This window comes from Homo sapiens, chromosome 13 (assembly GCF_000001405.40).
Source record: "Homo sapiens chromosome 13, GRCh38.p14 Primary Assembly".
NCBI lineage: Eukaryota > Metazoa > Chordata > Mammalia > Primates > Hominidae > Homo > Homo sapiens.
This window is the reverse complement of record NC_000013.11, coordinates 50519110-50535748: the sequence shown is the minus strand read 5'-3', so window position 1 is coordinate 50535748 and position 16639 is coordinate 50519110. Positions and strand designations below refer to the sequence as shown.

Below are 16639 nucleotides of genomic sequence, written 5' to 3'. Positions count from 1 at the left end.
CTTCCCAAGTCTTAGGAGAGATATAAACACCCAGATTCAGGAAACTCAAAGGTCCCTAATTAGATTCAACCCCCAAAAAATTCTCTTTGAGGCACATTATAAACAAACTGCCAGACTCTAAATAAACCTATAACAAATACAGAAATTGAATTCATAATCAAAAAACTTCCCACAAAGAAAAGCCTATGACCAGATGTACTCACTGGCAAATTCTACCAAATGTTTCAAAAACAAGTAAGTGCAATCTTTTGCAAACTCTTTCAAAAATAGAAGAGGTGGGACTATTTCCCATCTTATTCTATAAGATCAGTGTTGCTCTGATATCAGACCCAGACAAAAATATCCCAAGTAAGGATACTTCCAGAACAATATCCCTTATAAATATAAATGCCAAAAAAAACCTCAAAAAATACTAGAACACTTAATTCAGTGTGCAACATTTTAAAAAGAATTGTACCAAATGATCAAATGGAATTTATCAATGGAATGCAAGGTTGGTTTGATATACCAAAATTTTTCTATGTCATATACCATGTTAATAAAGAAAGACTAAAATTACAGAATCATCTCAAAAGATGCAGAAAAATAATTTGTCTGAATCTATAATAAAAATGATTTCATGATGAAACACTCAATAAATGGGATGAAAGGGAACTTCCTCTACTTGGTAAACAACATCAGAGTAAAATGCACAGCTAATATCATGCTTAATGCCGAAATCCTGGAATCTTTCCCACTAAGACCAGGAAATGAATGTTCTTTCTAGCCTCTCCTATTCAACACTGTATTGGAGTCTCTAGCCAGAGCAATTAGTGAAGAAAAATAAATAAAGGCAGCCAAATTGAAAAGGAAGAAGTAAATCTATCTCTTTGCCAATGACATTATATAGAAAATTTTAAGGAATTCACGAAAGTCTAATAAGCCAGTTTAGCAAGGTTAAAGGATACAGGAGAAATACAGAATACTCAATTGTATTTTCATACACCAGCAATGAACAACCAGTAAATAAAATTAAAATAATTTCATTTATAACAGCTTTAAGAATAAAATAATTAGGAATAAATTTAACAAAATAATTCCAAGACTAGCATACTAAAAACTATAAAATGTTATTGAAAGAAACTAAAGAAGACTTAAATAACTGGAAATACATCTTGGGTTCACGGATTGGAACACTTAATATTGTTAAGATAACAAACTCCTTGAATTCGTCTAGAGTTTTTGCACTGTCTCCATCAAAATTCCAGCTGCCTTTTTTGTATAAATGTATAAGCTAATACTGAACCTCATGTGGAAATGCAAGGGGTCCAGAATAACAAAAATAATCTGAAAAAAAAAACCCAAAGTTAAAGAACTAACACTTACTGATTTTGATATCTACAGCACAAAGCTACAGCAATAAAGATTGTACAGTAGTGGCATAGGATAGTCATATTTATCAATGGAATAGGATTGAGAGTCTGAAAATAAACTCATACATTTATGGTCAACTGATTTTTGACAAGAATGTCCGAACAGTTCAAAGGAGGAAACAATAGTCTTTTAAACAAATGGTGCTGCAAAAATGGGAGATACACATATACACATATAAAAGAATGAAATTGGATTCCTATCTCTTACCCTATACAAAAACTAACACAGAATGTATCAAAGACCTAAATGTGAAAGCTAAAAGCATAAAACTCTTAGAAGAAATCACAGCTGTAAAATTTGTGACCTCAGATTTAGGCAATGGTTTGTTAGATACGACACCAAAAGACAAGCAAAAAAAGAAAAAAATAGATAAACTGGACTTTATCAAAATAAAAAACTTGTACTTCAAAAGATAATATAAAGAAGTGAAAAGCCAACCCACAGAATGGGAGAAAATATTTACAAATCATGTACTGTTAAAGGTCTAGGATCCAGAATATATTTAAAAACTATTACAACTCAACAATAAAAACATAAATTATCCAATTAAAACATAGGCACAGGATTTGAGTAGACATTTCTCTAAAGAAGATATACAAATATCTTGTATACACATGAAAAGATGCTTGATATTATTAGTCATTAGAGAATGCAAATCAAAACCATAATGAGATAACACTTCATATCTACTAGGATAGCTACAATAAAAGGCAACAATTAAGTATTAGTTTAAATAAGGAAAGACCAGAACTGTCATACAATGCTGGTGAAATATTAAAATGATAGTTACTTTGGAAAACAGTTGGGCAGTTTCTAAACATAAAGTTACAATCTAATTCAGCAATTTTATCCCTAAGTATCTACCCAGGAGAATTAAAAACATATAACAAAAACTTACAAGTAAATATTCCTAACAGCGTTAATTATTATAGCCTAAAAGTGAAAACAACCCAAAGATTTATTAATTGATGAACAGATAAACAAAATATAGTATATTAAAACCATGTAATATTATTCAATCATAAAAGAAATGAAGTTCTGGTATATGCCATGACGTGGATAAATCTTGAAAACATGTCTAAAGTAGGCAAATCCATTGTAGAGGCAGAAGTAAACTTCCTTTCTGCCCTTTCTGAAGGTTCACTGAAATAAAGTGACAATAGACAGATTAACATGAGAAAAAGTTTACACATTAATTAATATGCATAATCATGGGAGCCATACAAAACATGAGACTCAAAAAAGGGCCATATGGTTAAGGTTTAAATGTCCTCCTCATAGGGGAGAGAAAACTTGGGAGCTGTAACAAATTTTAGAAGGGTAGTAAGTGATTTTCAGAGGAAATGAATGCACCCAGGAGGCAAATATTATTTTGTAAATAATTATCTTAGGAAACTGAATGGGACTGGCAAGTTAAGGGAAGGAGAGGGGTGGAACTGCCTTGTGAACAAAGGTTGTCTTAGTATGTAGAAAAAGTCTCCTAGGTAATCTCTCCAACCTGCCCTCAAAAGAATAGATGAAAAGTCTAACTGCATGTAGTGATGACTTTTATAGTCTTTTCTTCTCTCAGGTGGGTAATCTTTCTGGATTATTTCATGAGATTCCTGGAGAGTGAGTCTTCAGACAATTGCATGTCTTTTGAGAAGTTTCCTTAGTTAGATAAGGAAATTCCAGACAGAGTCCCTCCTTGCTCTTGGAGTCAGGGGAGAAGAAACAAAAGAGGGTTAAAATGTTTTGGGTTCTGAGACAGCTTCTAAGGTACTCCATCTTCATTTAATTCAAAGTGTTCAGTATGCCAAAGCACCATTGTGTGGGGTATCATTTTCTTAGACCCAACACCATAAATACTAAGAGTAGTTTAGTGGTTACCAGGGATGGCGGAAAGAAGTAATCAAGGGTTACTGATAATGAGCATAGGTTTTCTTTTGGGGGTGACAGAAATATTCTGGTATTAGATCATGGTGACATTTGCACAACTCTGTGAATATACTTAAAAGCCACTGAATTGTACCCTTTAAACGGACGACTAGTGTATGTCAGTTATATCTCAATTAAAAACAAAGTCTAGAACTTGACATATCATTCCAAATACTCAAATTAGACGAGTCTGCTTCTAAGGTAAATAAGTGGAAAGTGGTCACAAGATAAGAACAGAGGCTATTAGGAGATGAGGAAAATCAGGAATGAGAAGTAGGAAGCCAACTCTTCATAATTTTTTAGGTGAGCAGCAGAGGGAGCCCTTGATAGCAAAGAAAATTACAAAACTAATGTTTATACTTCTGATCATAAAGTTAATACAGCCTTTTTACAGAAAATTTGAAAAAGTGCCACATAAAGGTAATAAAAACCCACTAATCATTCCACCATCCTAAGAACCACTATTAACATTTCATCGACACAAATCCTTCCAGTCTTTTTTCTGTATGTGTACATATATGCATGTACGTACATATATAGCCAAGCCCACCCACAGCTCTCCTGTACATGCAACTTTGCCGTTACATTTTTCACTTCATGTTACCTTTTATATTTTTTCTAAAGCCTTAAATATTCCTGAGAATGTGGTTTGCCATGCCTACAGATGAGCTGTCAGTAATTAAACCTATTTTTAGAATTTTTCAGTCACAAGTAACCCTGCAATAAACATCCTTATACCTAAATCCTTGTATTTCCTAAAAATATATCCGAAGTAAGGATAGATTCCTTAAGAAGGAATTATTAGGTCAAATATTGTTTACAGCTTTAAGTCTTTGAATACATACATATTGCCAACATTTCTAACCAGAAAATTTAAAAGATTGTTATACTTCCACCAGCAGTGGATGAGATTTTCCTTTATCTTGAACTTTTACCCAACTATGTAATTATCAAAGTTTTTTGAAATTTAAAATATTTGCTAATTTAATGGACAGAAATTTGTGTCTTTTAAAATTATTTTTAAATAAATAGTGAGCCTGAAATTTTTTCATGATTTATTGTCTAATTTTTTTCTGCTCGTACAAATTCCTTTTTTGTGAATATTGAAAATTTTTCTGCTTAGGATATTTATCTTCTAATCATTGACTTCGGAAGCTCTTCACATATTAACCATGTTAACCTTTGTCTTCTATTTTGCCCTTTTTTCAAGTTATTCTTTGCCTTATGTTTCTTTATCATGAGTTTTGATGTATATGTTTATAATTTTTATGTAAAAACATTCTGTTTTCTCTTTTATAGATTCTTCCTCTACCTTTTTGTTTAAAAAGTGCTTCCATACATTGAGAGTTGATAGATACTTATCATAATTTCTTTTACTCATTTGTGTTTTCATATTTTAAAATTTATTTAATTCATCCAGAATTTATTTAGGGATATGATTTGGGTCTCCTCCTTCCCTTAAAAACTGAATTAATTTCCCCAGCACTATTCACTGGCATAATCTTTCATTTCCTTCCCTAATTTGAAGTGTCTTCATCAAATACTAAATTCTTATATGTATTTGAGTGTGTTTGGGGACTCTATTCTCTTCTCTCTGTCTAGTTGTATACCAATATCATGTTATTAAAGCTTTATAACAGGTTTTTAACACCTGAAGTACAGTTTACCTTATTTGTTTATAAATCTTTCTTGGTTATTTTTATCCACAAATTATTCTAGATAAACCTTACAGTCACATTTTCATTCAAAAATATTCCAATTGGGATTTTGATTAGAATCATATTGGACCTAACCATCAATTTGAGGAACAGTGACATCATCCAATAATATAAAATATGTCTCAATTTATTCAAGCCTGATTTCATATTAACTAAAGTTTTACAACTAAATTGATAGAAGCCCTATATAAACAAACAAGTTTGTTTCCAGGTTTTATTGTTCTTATTCTTGCTTGTTTTGCTTTGTTTTTCCCCTGTTGTAAAAGAGCTCTTTTCCCTCTTTACGATTATTATCTGATTATGGATATTTTTTATATTTTGTAACCAGGTATCATAATGAAGCATTAGTTGTAATAGTTGATTTCTTAGGTTTTCCTAAATAGGTTATCCTTAAGAATTTAGAAATTCTCTACATAGTCATGACTTTGGGGTCTCAAAACCAATTCAACTTTTGGAATTACAGCTTTTATGCTTCATAAGCATAACTTCTTTTTCTAAATAAAATTGAAAATTAAGTGTGTAAAGTGACCAACTAAAAAGAACAAACAACTCTAAAACATACAGATTCCACTCCTCCACTTGGCTCTTAAAGGGTTAATTAATATTTACCATGAAGAATTTTTTTAATCTAATAAAAAAAATCAATCCAAAATATTCTTAAAGAGGCATTAATGACTCAAAATGTTATTTGGTTTTATATGGCCTCCCAAACTACAGTGTTTTTAAAAATCAGGTTTATCGAGTTATAATTTACATACAGTAGAATTCACCCTTTTCAGGCACACAGTTCTACAAATTTTTACAAGCATATACAGTCGAGTAATCACCACCTCAATCAAGACAGAATATTTCCGACACCCTGAGAAATTATCTGTGCCCCTTTGAAGTCAATCTCCTTCCTCTCACCCTCAGCCCCTGGCAATCTCTGATTTATTTCTGTCACTGGATATTCTGCATAGCTTCCAATCTATGTTTTTCAAGCTTCCAATCGGAGTCAAAGCTGGCCAGTAGCAACTAGCACAGAGTCCTCTGCTGCTCTTTTGAAACCACCTTTTCTTTGCTGACAACCAACAGATCAGTCTCCATAGTCAGCAAAGCTGAACTCCAGCTTTAGACACAGGCCAATTCCTCCCGTAAAACTTGGCCTGGCGTCAACTGGGCGGACATGCCCGGACAAGCCTGCTGGGGTAGCCGCGCCCGCAGGAGGGGAGGTCCTTACAACATGGAGCACCAGTTGCACACTGTCCCCTTTTGAGCTCTGTTCTCCTTTTTAGTTTGGAAGTCTGTGCGTATGTGTACATGTGTGTGGGTGCATGCATTGCAGAGCCCCAGTATACTTTGACATGTTTTCTGCATCTACAGTGTGAGTAATACAGTGGAGGGTAGATGAGCCAGCCCCTTCTGAGAAATACAGTAGTCCTCTTTGAACCTCTCCTCCTCCTGTCATCTGATTGCTGGATGGCGTTAGCCTGTGGTGTACTGGTGAGAGCCGGAAGGTCTGGGACTGGATCCCTCCTACTGAGTCAAAATACAACATAAAAACCTTGGGGGAGGATCTGAGGCTGAGAACCAGCTTCAGAAAATTATAAGTTGCCAAAGAAACACAATTTTAAGCATCATGTCTGAAGGAGTTAGGAAGGTTTTTCACTTTTGTCATTTCTGCTAAGGTCCTCTTTCTCCTCTGATACTTCTTTCCCCAGCTTTCTCCACATGATTTGGGCTGCTTTCCTAGTTCCCTTAAATACCGGTGTAAAGAAACCTGTCTGTGGTTTTATGTTACCCCATTGGAGTGTTGCATGTGAATATAGGGCATAAAAGGGGATAAATTGCCTAACTCAATCCACCCTCGAGGCCTGCCACATTAAAAAGATATACCACGGAACTTTCGTCTGCCCTGAAATGATTGGAAATACTGTGAGACTGCAGAGTTTAATGAAAACTCTGAGTCTCAACTTGAAGTAGATAGATAACTCTCTGATCTACTCTTGGGCCTATATATAACATTTTATATTTGTCAAGGCCGCTCAACATTCACGGTTAATAATTAGTCCTGGAAGAATATTTATAGCTTATGTTAATTCTTATCCCGGAGACATGCAAGGTTCAAAATAGGTGGGATAAAAGCACATTTGGGTAGGCTTAAATTCAAACCCACAGGCACTATGTACAGAAAAAGGCACTAGGTGTTTTTTAAATTGACTCAGAAAAAGTTAAAATGGAGAAACTTCTATCTGCTCACTTGGTCCTTCATGGGGAATTCTACCACTTCCCTTGGTCCAGCTCACTCAAGGCCAGTGCCATGACAACTCCTGGGTTGAGAATCACTGATTTAAATGGCATTTGACCACATCTGTCCCCACTTGTGGCTCTCTGCTCTGTAGATTTGCTGACTCACAGAGTCCACCGGCAGAGATGCTGACAGGCATGAACTGGTTGCATGACACTTGGAAGGCATAGCGGGACATCTGCCTCACCAGCTTCCTTCAGGTGTTCCACTGAGCCCCAGCATTCAAATTTCCATCTGTGGGAGAGGAAGGGAAGGGAAGGCTCTGGTCTGTGGTACCGTAGGATTCCAGTGATGCCTCTTAAGCATCCCCCACCATTCTCTGATCGTTTCCCACATGCAAAGTGCCAACCTGGTCGTGCAACAGTGTACACATGTGGTGAACACCAGGCGCCCTCCCATGAGACTTCTGCAGCATTCCAGCACTCCATCCTCCCCCAGCTTCCAGTTTAGGACAGGTCCAGGAGAGGAATGGTGAGGACAGAGTTAAACGCAACTTTTGCTTCATTGTGGGTTCCTTCTTCCTGTCCTCCCGGCCATCAGACCTCCTCCTATAAACAGATGTGTGCTCAGATTAACTACTTTTTGGAAAAAACAAGGAAATGATAATACTAGAAAAACTTTATTGAACTAATGTTTGTCTATGTACCAGGAACTGTGCTAAATACATCACATTTATCTCATTCAATTCTGACAAGAACCCTACACAGACAGGTGTTGCTGCTGTAGATGGGAAAACTGTGGCACAGAGGTGAAAAAGTCTTACCTATACAGATACATTGCATCAAAATTCAAGCCGAGGTTCTGACCCCAAAGCCTGTGCTCCAAACTAGAGTCCTCCTGTGCACATTTCACGTCTGGAATTATTATAAAGCATTTTGCAATGACTAAAATAGGCACATGAATGAAGACGTATCCAGGTCTGCCTGAGAGGAGACTCGAAGCCAAAGCCCAGCTCAGCAAGGCCAGAGAATTTCAGTGTATCCCCGCGGGGCGCTGGAACTTCGTCTGGGTGCATTTGTTTTTATAAGCCTGGGTACTGCAGAGTCATTTAAAAACATGTGCTTGCCAGGGCAGAACATCATCTGATGGCAGCAACCACCTGGTGCTGGCCACGACTGAGGAGGGAACACATCAGGTGAGTGTGGGCCAACCCTTCCTGCACAGAACAGGAGGGCGGGGAGGGGGGGGGATGCTTGATTTTTAGTGGGAAGGATGAGGAAAGCAGTTCTGAAATGTTTTTCACAGAAATAGAAACTAGTGAAATAGAAGCTGGCATTTGACTACTTTAGAAAAAAGAGAGGAGGGTAATAGGGAGGAAAGTGATTGGCTGCTGCTGTCAAACTCAGGAACTTTTAAAATTTTGTTTGTTCCCCCAAAGAAGTGCATGCCCAAACCACCAAGAGAGGGTAAGTGATGACAAGCAGATCTGCAAGGCGGGGCCCCAGTCACAGTAGCAAGCACCCTATCTCACAACAGCCCTGCAACCGGCAAAGTTGCAGCTTCTGCTACAGTGCGCATGTGTGCGGGTCCCCTTCTCCCCTCTTCCCTCTCCCCTCTCCCCTCTCAGCCCATCCTCCTCAGCCCAGATCCCTCCCTGTACCAAGACCATTCCAGCTGCACGCAATAATCAGGCAAGCAACTTCTAACCCAGCCTAGGGGACTCAGACGAGATAATGCTTAATTTTTCTGCAACGCCTTCTTAAGACTCCAGGGATCTGTACCCCAGGATGGAGAATGCTTTCCCAGAAGCACAGCCTGTTTCTCCAGCCTGAGAGTGTGTGCTGCAGAGCTGGGACCCCACCCTGTATCTAAAGTAATTGCTGTATCTAATGGTGTGGTGCTGCTGACTTCCTTACCAGCTGTAGCTTTCTGTTGCCCGACCCTGTTATTGCTGGCTCCTGCTTTATTTTAGGGATGTTAACCTGCTCGTATGTGTCTGCTAGTACCTTGCTGGTAAACTCCATCTTAAAAGCTCTTCAGAGAAGGGCTTTGTGAGTTTTCCTTTTACAGGCCTTTATTGCATTTTTTTTCTCCAGGTTCCTCTCTCTTCCTCCTCTCACTCCTTTCTGCCTGATTAGAGCAGAGGATGTTAGCTTTTCTTAGGGACACCTTACAGCCAGCCAGTCACATTATATGAGAATATGTTGTTCTAAGAGCCTGCCCCTAGGTCACAGATTCAGACCTGTGGAAATGGCCTAGGCTATTCTGAAATGCTCTGATGGGGTTCCAGCATTCAGCCTCCAGCTAAGCTCCATCCTTGTGAGCTATAAGTTGGAATGAGTAAGTAGGTCAAACATCTAATCCTCCCTGTGCCAGCATCCCACCTGAAGGGCATGGCAGAGAAAGGGGAGCATGGGGACCCAACTCATTCACTATCAACAGGTCTTGTTCATTTCTTTTCTCTAGGAAAAAGCAACACTTCTCTCCATCGGGAAGAGGTGGACGCCAAGGCCCCGTTCATTGTAAGCACACCTTCTCCTCTTCACAGAGTACTGTCATTGCTCCCCTATCTGTGCTATGGACCTACACAGTTTAACAGAAGCCCACCAGGGGCTTAGGTGTTCTTTCATCTAAGTAGTTCCAATATCCTCAACCACTACAGTAAGATGTCTACATGGCAAATAAATTCAGGCATAAAATACAGCGTGGGCAGCATATGTGGGTGCTCTCCAGCCACTTCTGGTGGCTGCTTGGACCACTTCATAGAGACTTGTTCCAAGGAACAAGGAGAGGGTTTTGTGAAGTGTTTTGACTCCCACTGAAATGGCTGCTACAAGAGGTTATTTCTCACTGCAGGAGGATTTGGGAATAGGGATAGGGGATAGGAGATTATAAAGCCAGGGGTTTTTTTTGTTTTGTTTTTTGTTTGTTTGTTTTTGTTTTTGTTTTTGAGATGGAGCCTCGCTCTGTGGCCCAGGCTGGAGTGCAGTGGCGCGATCTCGGCTCACTGCAAGCTCCGCCTCCCGGGTTCACGCCATTCTCCTGCCTCACCCTCCCAAGTAGGCGGAACTACAGGTGCCCGCCACCACGCCCAGCTAATTTTTTGTATTTTTAGTAGAGACGGGGTTTCACCATGTTAGCCAGGATGGTCTCAATCTCCTGACCTCATGATCCACCCACCTTGGCCTCTCAAAGTGCTGGGATAACAGGCTTGAGCCACCGCGTCCAGCTATAAAGCCAGGTTTTAAGTCCAGCCCGTTTTGACCAATTTTGTGGCTTTGGGTGTTTCTGAACTACAGTTTCCTTATCAATACAATGAAGACTGAATACACCCTACAGAACCATAGTGAGGTTCACATCACCTAGTGTGAGAAATCGCTTTGTACGCTGGAAAACACCACAAATAAAAAGAGGCTATTGTTATTGGGCTTATTATTCTGAGGCAGGAGAACCAAGGTATAGAAAAGAGAAGTAAGAGTTAGATATCACAGTCTGAGATGCTGGGAGAACAACACAAGCCACTGTAGATCCTCCTAGGACCTTTCTTCTGGAATGTTCTGCGATGACAATGGCAGAAACGGGGGGGCAGCACTGCTCTTGTTAATGATAAAATGGCCAATTCTGCAATTCCATCAGCTGTGATAGAACTCAGTCCAAATCATTTTATTGCTAACCCTCAAATCACCTGACTAGTTATCAACTCATTGGAAAGATAGCGTAGCATTAAGAGCATGGACTATGGGACCTGGCTACCTGGACGTGAGCCCATCTCTGTGTCCCTTTGACTAGACAATTTTAAGTAACTGACATGACTCATCTGTGTTTCAGTATACCCATCTATAACATGGAGATGATAATACTGTCTACTTCATAGTGTGAGAATAAAATGAAAAAGAAATGGAAAGTACTTTGAAAAATTTCTGACATGTATTAATAGTAAGCTAAGTGTAGCTACCACTGTTTTCCAATAAAATAGTCCAATCTTAAAAAACAAAATGTGTGTTCTAAATTGTAGGAGGAGATGGATTCTTCAGGCACGATGGAGAATAAATCCAGTCCCTCTTCCTCCACTCTAGCATGAAGGGTCTACCATGCCAAAATAAGTTAGATTACAGAGTCCGGTGGAGCTAATATAGTGTACATATGCAGTTTGATCCTGGAAAGGAAGAGTGGTGACATTTCCTCTCGCTGGCAGAGCCCAAAACTAGATAAAAACAGGCAGTGTGGCTGAATCTGCGCTCCTGCATCAACTGCTGTGTGACTGTGGATGCCTGACATCTCTCTGTGCCTCACTTCCTAAACTTGCAATGGAATAACAATAGTACCTGCCCTCTAGGGTTGTTGTTTAGAGCAGTCACTGAATAGCTACACAATAAAATCCAGTTATTATTGTTGTTATTAGGATACCATTTGCCATTACCCAACTTTGTGACTCGGGATCTTGAGAAATTGCATAAATTTCATCTTTCAAGTTAAAGTAGAAGAACCAAAAGCCAGACAAATGTAACCTAAAGCCATATGTTTTGTTAAAGACAAGGAAAGGAAATGCCACATCATTATAATCATGTTATTTGGTCATACAGTATGACAGTATCTACAATCATCAATTCATGTCACTTTAAAAAAAATTACAGTGGGTTATTTGAATTAGAAAGCATTTCCATACATGAAAGCTTAATCCCCTTTAGACATTCCTCAATGTTCACAAATAAACTGACCTGGCAGGCATGGGTGCTCCTAGTCTTTGTTTTTAACATCAGGTGTGGAGGATAAGGGTAATAAACAATGTCTACTGATTCTGGTCATTCTGAAATGACACTTTTTTTTTCAGTTTTGCTAGAGCTTGGCACACCTTCATATTTCGAGGCAATGTATCTTCAAGGATCACTCATCAGAATAGTTGCACAAACTCATAAGTGGCAAGAACTGAAAATGCCTTGTGATTTTCAAAGTTTTAAAATAGCCCTATGGGGCTGGTGACCTCAGTCAGGTCAGCCATCAAGTTTGGGATCCGACAATAAAAGTCATAAAGTGAGTCAACTGAGTCAGAGAGGATGCAACAGCATTATTTTTCTCTTCTGGCTTCTCTAGTAAAGCAAAAGTTTTGGTGTTAGGGCTGTCTCTGCAGACAGGGAGTTTGGTTTCCAACACGCTGGGAGCATCCCTGGAGAATGCTGAAAAGCAGAATAGGCTGCCAGAGTCCAAGAGACGATATCAGTAAAGTTAGCACAAGATTTAATAGACTAGAATATACCCGCCCAATCCATTTCTCCAGCCTGATAATCCAGAGCAATTAACAGAAATTGCCCTGGTATTTTTAGCATTTTTAAAGTTTCATCTGGGCAAACGCAGAAATGGATAACTATGTTATCCAGACCTTACCACTGTTTGTTTTTGAGACTCTAAGATTAAACTAAAGACTGGCCTAGCAAAGCAGATATGTTTGCCCTTGCCTGAAAGGAGACAGAAACTTGGGAAGAAACAAGGGTCTTTGGAGTTACTGGGCTTCCACGAGGATCCTCAAGGTTTGCAAACACCAAATGGACAGGACTTCATCCCTGAAGTGCAGGCCAGTCCTACCTCCTTCACAATGACGTGCTGACATCATGGTGCAAATTTGCAAACATTTTTTGCCTTATTAAGAAAATTATTCAAACCTAGAAAAATGCAAGGGTTAAAGCCTTGCTTTCATAAACATAGCCTGTGTGTGTCGCAGGGTGACTTTTAGATATTATATGGAAAAATGCAGTAAAAAGTGCTGAAGTAGCCCATTCCGTTGCATTGAATTGTTAGGCAATTATGGTCATCCCAGCCTTAGTAAATTAAAATACATGATGAAAACCCAATCTAAGGACATCAACTGCTATGTACTAAACAAACTACACATCCCATTTAAAAAGCATTTAAAATTGTGTCAAGAGAGGTTATGTTGGAGGGACTATAATTTTAAAATCATTTACTGTACAACCATATATTTAAATTTTAACTTGAAGCTAAATGTTGCAAAATTAAATTAATCTTATTTGATAACACGAGGCAGTTTATACTCTTTCATTTGGGGTCGATGGAGCCCCTGGCACAGTCTTGAATTTAAGACCCCTACCCCATAGGAATAGTTAACTCTTGATCCTAGCATGCTCTCTCCTCCTGGAAGAGTTATTTAAAGTTAGATGTGTTTCTTTCTGTTTTTTTCTTAGCCACTTTTCTATCCCAAGCCCAGCAAAGACATTCAATTCATTCCCCCTACACCTCTCTCTCTCTTTCTGTCTTTCCTCCCTCCCCTCTCTCCCTCTCTTTTTCTCTCTCTCCCTCTGAAGTTTCTAAATCAGTTCCTACAGCTTTAGTTTTCTTTTTCTAAAATTAAAAACGTGGCTTCTGGCTATAAAACGAATCTCCCACCTTCAGCAGCCCCAGTCCCCTGGGGCTGTTACTGGCGTGATCTATAAATTAACTGGAATCACTTAGAGCCCTCAGTTAGCTTTTAGTCAAACATTAGCAGCAGTGTTTACCCTTGTGTAATCTGCAGTTGTTACTTAATTTAATGCCTGTCAGCATTTTTTTAAAGAACATGTTCAGCAAATCCTTGGCACAGGCTGTTTGAATTCCTTACTCTTCCCTTCCCCCACCTTGACCCAAATCAAGCTAAATGTATCTGAGTAGAAGCTTGCTAATATTTTTAATTTGCTAGTGTAGTTTTCCTTCTTCTTGAGGAAAGAAAGAAGAGTTTGCTTTCTGTGCCAATCCAACTACATCCTACTCAGAGGCCTGGGCTTCGTGTCCCCACTGCACCTTACATCAAAGAGGGTGAACTGTAAATTGTTAGGGTTTTTGTTTCTTGTTGCTCTGGCAGTGATCTGTGAGTGATGTAAGATGGGAGGCATCCTCAGACTCCCATTTGGAGGATGCTGGTGTGGCCCCCTGAAGAAAATCCATTGAAACAAACTTTGAAGTGCTGCCCAGTAGAGAGCTAAAAGCTGAACATATCACATCATAATTCATACATAACTTTGTGTGTTTTGAATCTTCCTCCTCCACAGCCACCACCTCAAATGTAAATAAATAGAGCCCTGGCCTTCCTACAGGGTTCTGTTGCTCCTTTCATAATGTGAGATCCATCTAGATCCGGCAGGAGAACTTCTCTAAGGCCATCATAAAGGCAGTAGGAAGTACTGATCTCAAACAGCACAGAGGAGGCTCCCCTCCAAAGAAGAGTGAAGCACATCGTTAGAGAATAAGAACACGGGGAAATTAAGAGGTGATCTTCAAAGGCTACAATGAACAGCTCCTCTCTGCTTTCACACACTATACAAGAAAAGACCTCCTTCAGTTCAGGAGGCTTTGGTTAACAGCCACATTCTCAATATTCTGGGTTTCAAGGCCAAGAAAATAAATGTCACAGTGGAAACCTCATGCTTTTTCAGGTGATATAATCCAAAAAATGTGTACATCTCAATAGTATAAAGGACTCTGAATCAGCCAGGGCTCAACTTGCTATTCTCTTCCTTGCCTGCAAGACTTGACCTTGAGTTTCAGTGTCTCTCAGCCGTACTTCTGCTTCCTGGTGACTAGAATTCAGGATTCTCTCCCATTTACCACTAGGGAAAACCCTACTGCTAAGGACCGTAAATGTCGGAGGATCCCCCTGAGTCTCACAGATGGCACTTGAAGAGAAGCAGTATGGAGACACAGGACACGAAGAAGGAAACAGAGACCCTGAGGACAGAGGCTCATGCAACTACTGCAAATGAACAAACACCAGAACAGGCATTTTTGCACTTTCAGACAGGGAGTTCCAGGACTGAGTGCACATACAGTCCATGGTTAGATTTCCAGGAAAGCCTCAGTGAGGGGCTGAATTATGTGCCATTAACTCAAGATACAGCCATCTTGGGAGTCAGCATATCTGTCTGAGCCCAGGTTATAAGTGCACACTGGTGGTCTATGGTTGCAGGCCGGTGTCACTGTCCTGTCACAGTCCTGAGATCTCCAAAGCAGCCCAGGTGACACATATGTCCCTGTCTTTGACTCTCCTCCAGCCCAACTCTGTGATACTACTATCAAGGCTCCAAAATGCAGCTGTTTTGCTACACAAATTATGAATAAGTTCTACAAACTTCTTGAACCATCTGGAAAGTGCTCAAAACACAGGGCTGCACAGACAAGGACTTTAAGGCTCAACTCACTCCCAGGTAATATTAGTGGCTCTTCTCAGCAAGAACATGAGCCCAGGTCCCAATAGCACTATTGAAAAAGGCAGTTCTGCTGTAGAATGGGTCCCTCTTTTTGCTGTTTCCACTGCTGAGTGCCCCCATCATGGGCATGCAAGATTTTTTCTGCAATTTTCCTTTCACAACTTTCATCAACTGCCTCTTCAATTTCCTGGTCTTGCACAATCTCAACCCAACTTACTTAACAGCACTGATTGTTCAGTTCTTATGGACAGTGTGTGCCTTTAGTCTTCCTCCAAGGAGAGTGCTTGACAAACATAAAATGGAAATCTTAGGAACACTTTTACACCATTGGTGGGAATGTAAATTACTTTAACCATTGTGGAAGATGGTGTGGCGATTCTTCAAAGATCTAGAACCAGAAATACCATTTGACCCAGCAATCCCATTACTGGGTATATACCCAAAGGAATATAAATCATTTTATTACAAAGATACATGCACACATACGTTCATTGCTGCACTTTTCACAATAGCAAAGACATGGAATCAATTCAAATGCCCATCAGTGATACACTGGATAAAGAAAATGTGGTACATATACACCATGGAATCCTATGCAGCCATTAAAAGGACACAGATCATGTTCTTTGCAGGGACACAGATGAAGCTGGAAGCCATTATCCTCAGCAAACTAATGCAGGAATAGAAAATCAAACACTGCATGTTCTCACTTGTAAGTGGGAGCTGAACAATGAGAACACATGGACACAAGGAAGGGAACAACATACACTGGGGCCTGTTGGCAGATGTGGTTGGGGAGGGGGAGCATTAGGACAAATAGCTAATGCATGCTGGGCTTAATACCTAGGTGATGGGTTGATAGGTGCAGGAAATCACCATGGCACATGTTTACCTATGTAACAAACCTGCACATCCTGTACACATACCCAGAACTAAAACTAAAAATAAAACAAAAACAAAAGAATGGAAATCTTTTCAGAAAAATGTGTCATTGAATTGGAGGTGGAATCCATAATGATCAACAACAATAAATTCTTTTCTTCTCCATTAGATCATCTCCCTCAGTCTGTGTGTGTGTTCATGCGTGTGTGCCATGCCGGGTCCCCACTTTCCTCAGCACATTTGTGCATGTGTTTGTTTACTGAGCAGTGCCCAGTTTGCGAGGCTCCCCC

The 16639-nt window shown here is 39.5% G+C and overlaps 2 long non-coding RNA genes across 2 annotated transcripts in view, besides 4 other annotated features; one reads left to right on the top strand and one right to left on the bottom strand.

Annotated features, from left to right (window-relative positions):
- Positions 5400-6088: an enhancer, noted in NCBI's record as "H3K27ac-H3K4me1 hESC enhancer chr13:51103797-51104485 (GRCh37/hg19 assembly coordinates)". NCBI's record gives its function as "activates a minimal SCP1, AML or CMV promoter by ChIP-STARR-seq in naive H9 embryonic stem cells {active_cell/tissue: H9 hESC(naive)}" and the evidence as "EXISTENCE:reporter gene assay evidence [ECO:0000049][PMID:30033119]".
- Positions 5400-6917: a biological region, named in NCBI's record as "MED14-independent group 3 enhancer GRCh37_chr13:51102968-51104167".
- Positions 5718-6917: an enhancer, noted in NCBI's record as "MED14-independent group 3 enhancer chr13:51102968-51104167 (GRCh37/hg19 assembly coordinates)". NCBI's record gives its function as "activates an origin of replication core promoter dependent on BRD2, BRD4, P300/CBP and CDK7 cofactors, and independent of MED14, by STARR-seq in HCT116 cells {active_cell/tissue: HCT116}" and the evidence as "EXISTENCE:reporter gene assay evidence [ECO:0000049][PMID:35650434]".
- Positions 6089-6777: an enhancer, noted in NCBI's record as "H3K27ac-H3K4me1 hESC enhancer chr13:51103108-51103796 (GRCh37/hg19 assembly coordinates)". NCBI's record gives its function as "activates a minimal SCP1, AML or CMV promoter by ChIP-STARR-seq in naive and primed H9 embryonic stem cells {active_cell/tissue: H9 hESC(naive and primed)}" and the evidence as "EXISTENCE:reporter gene assay evidence [ECO:0000049][PMID:30033119]".
- DLEU1 (deleted in lymphocytic leukemia 1) overlaps positions 7106-16639 on the bottom strand; it is a 446475-nt gene continuing 436941 nt past the window's right edge. The window contains exons 6-7 of the long non-coding RNA NR_109974.1: positions 7685-7883; positions 7106-7569 (exon numbers count right to left, since the gene is read on the bottom strand). This is a non-coding gene — a long non-coding RNA (deleted in lymphocytic leukemia 1). The remainder of the gene's footprint in view (positions 7570-7684; positions 7884-16639) is intronic.
- DLEU1-AS1 (DLEU1 antisense RNA 1) lies at positions 8300-14816 on the top strand. The gene is made up of 3 exons (NR_125753.1): positions 8300-8470; positions 9742-9797; positions 14313-14816. It is a non-coding gene; the product is annotated as a DLEU1 antisense RNA 1 (long non-coding RNA).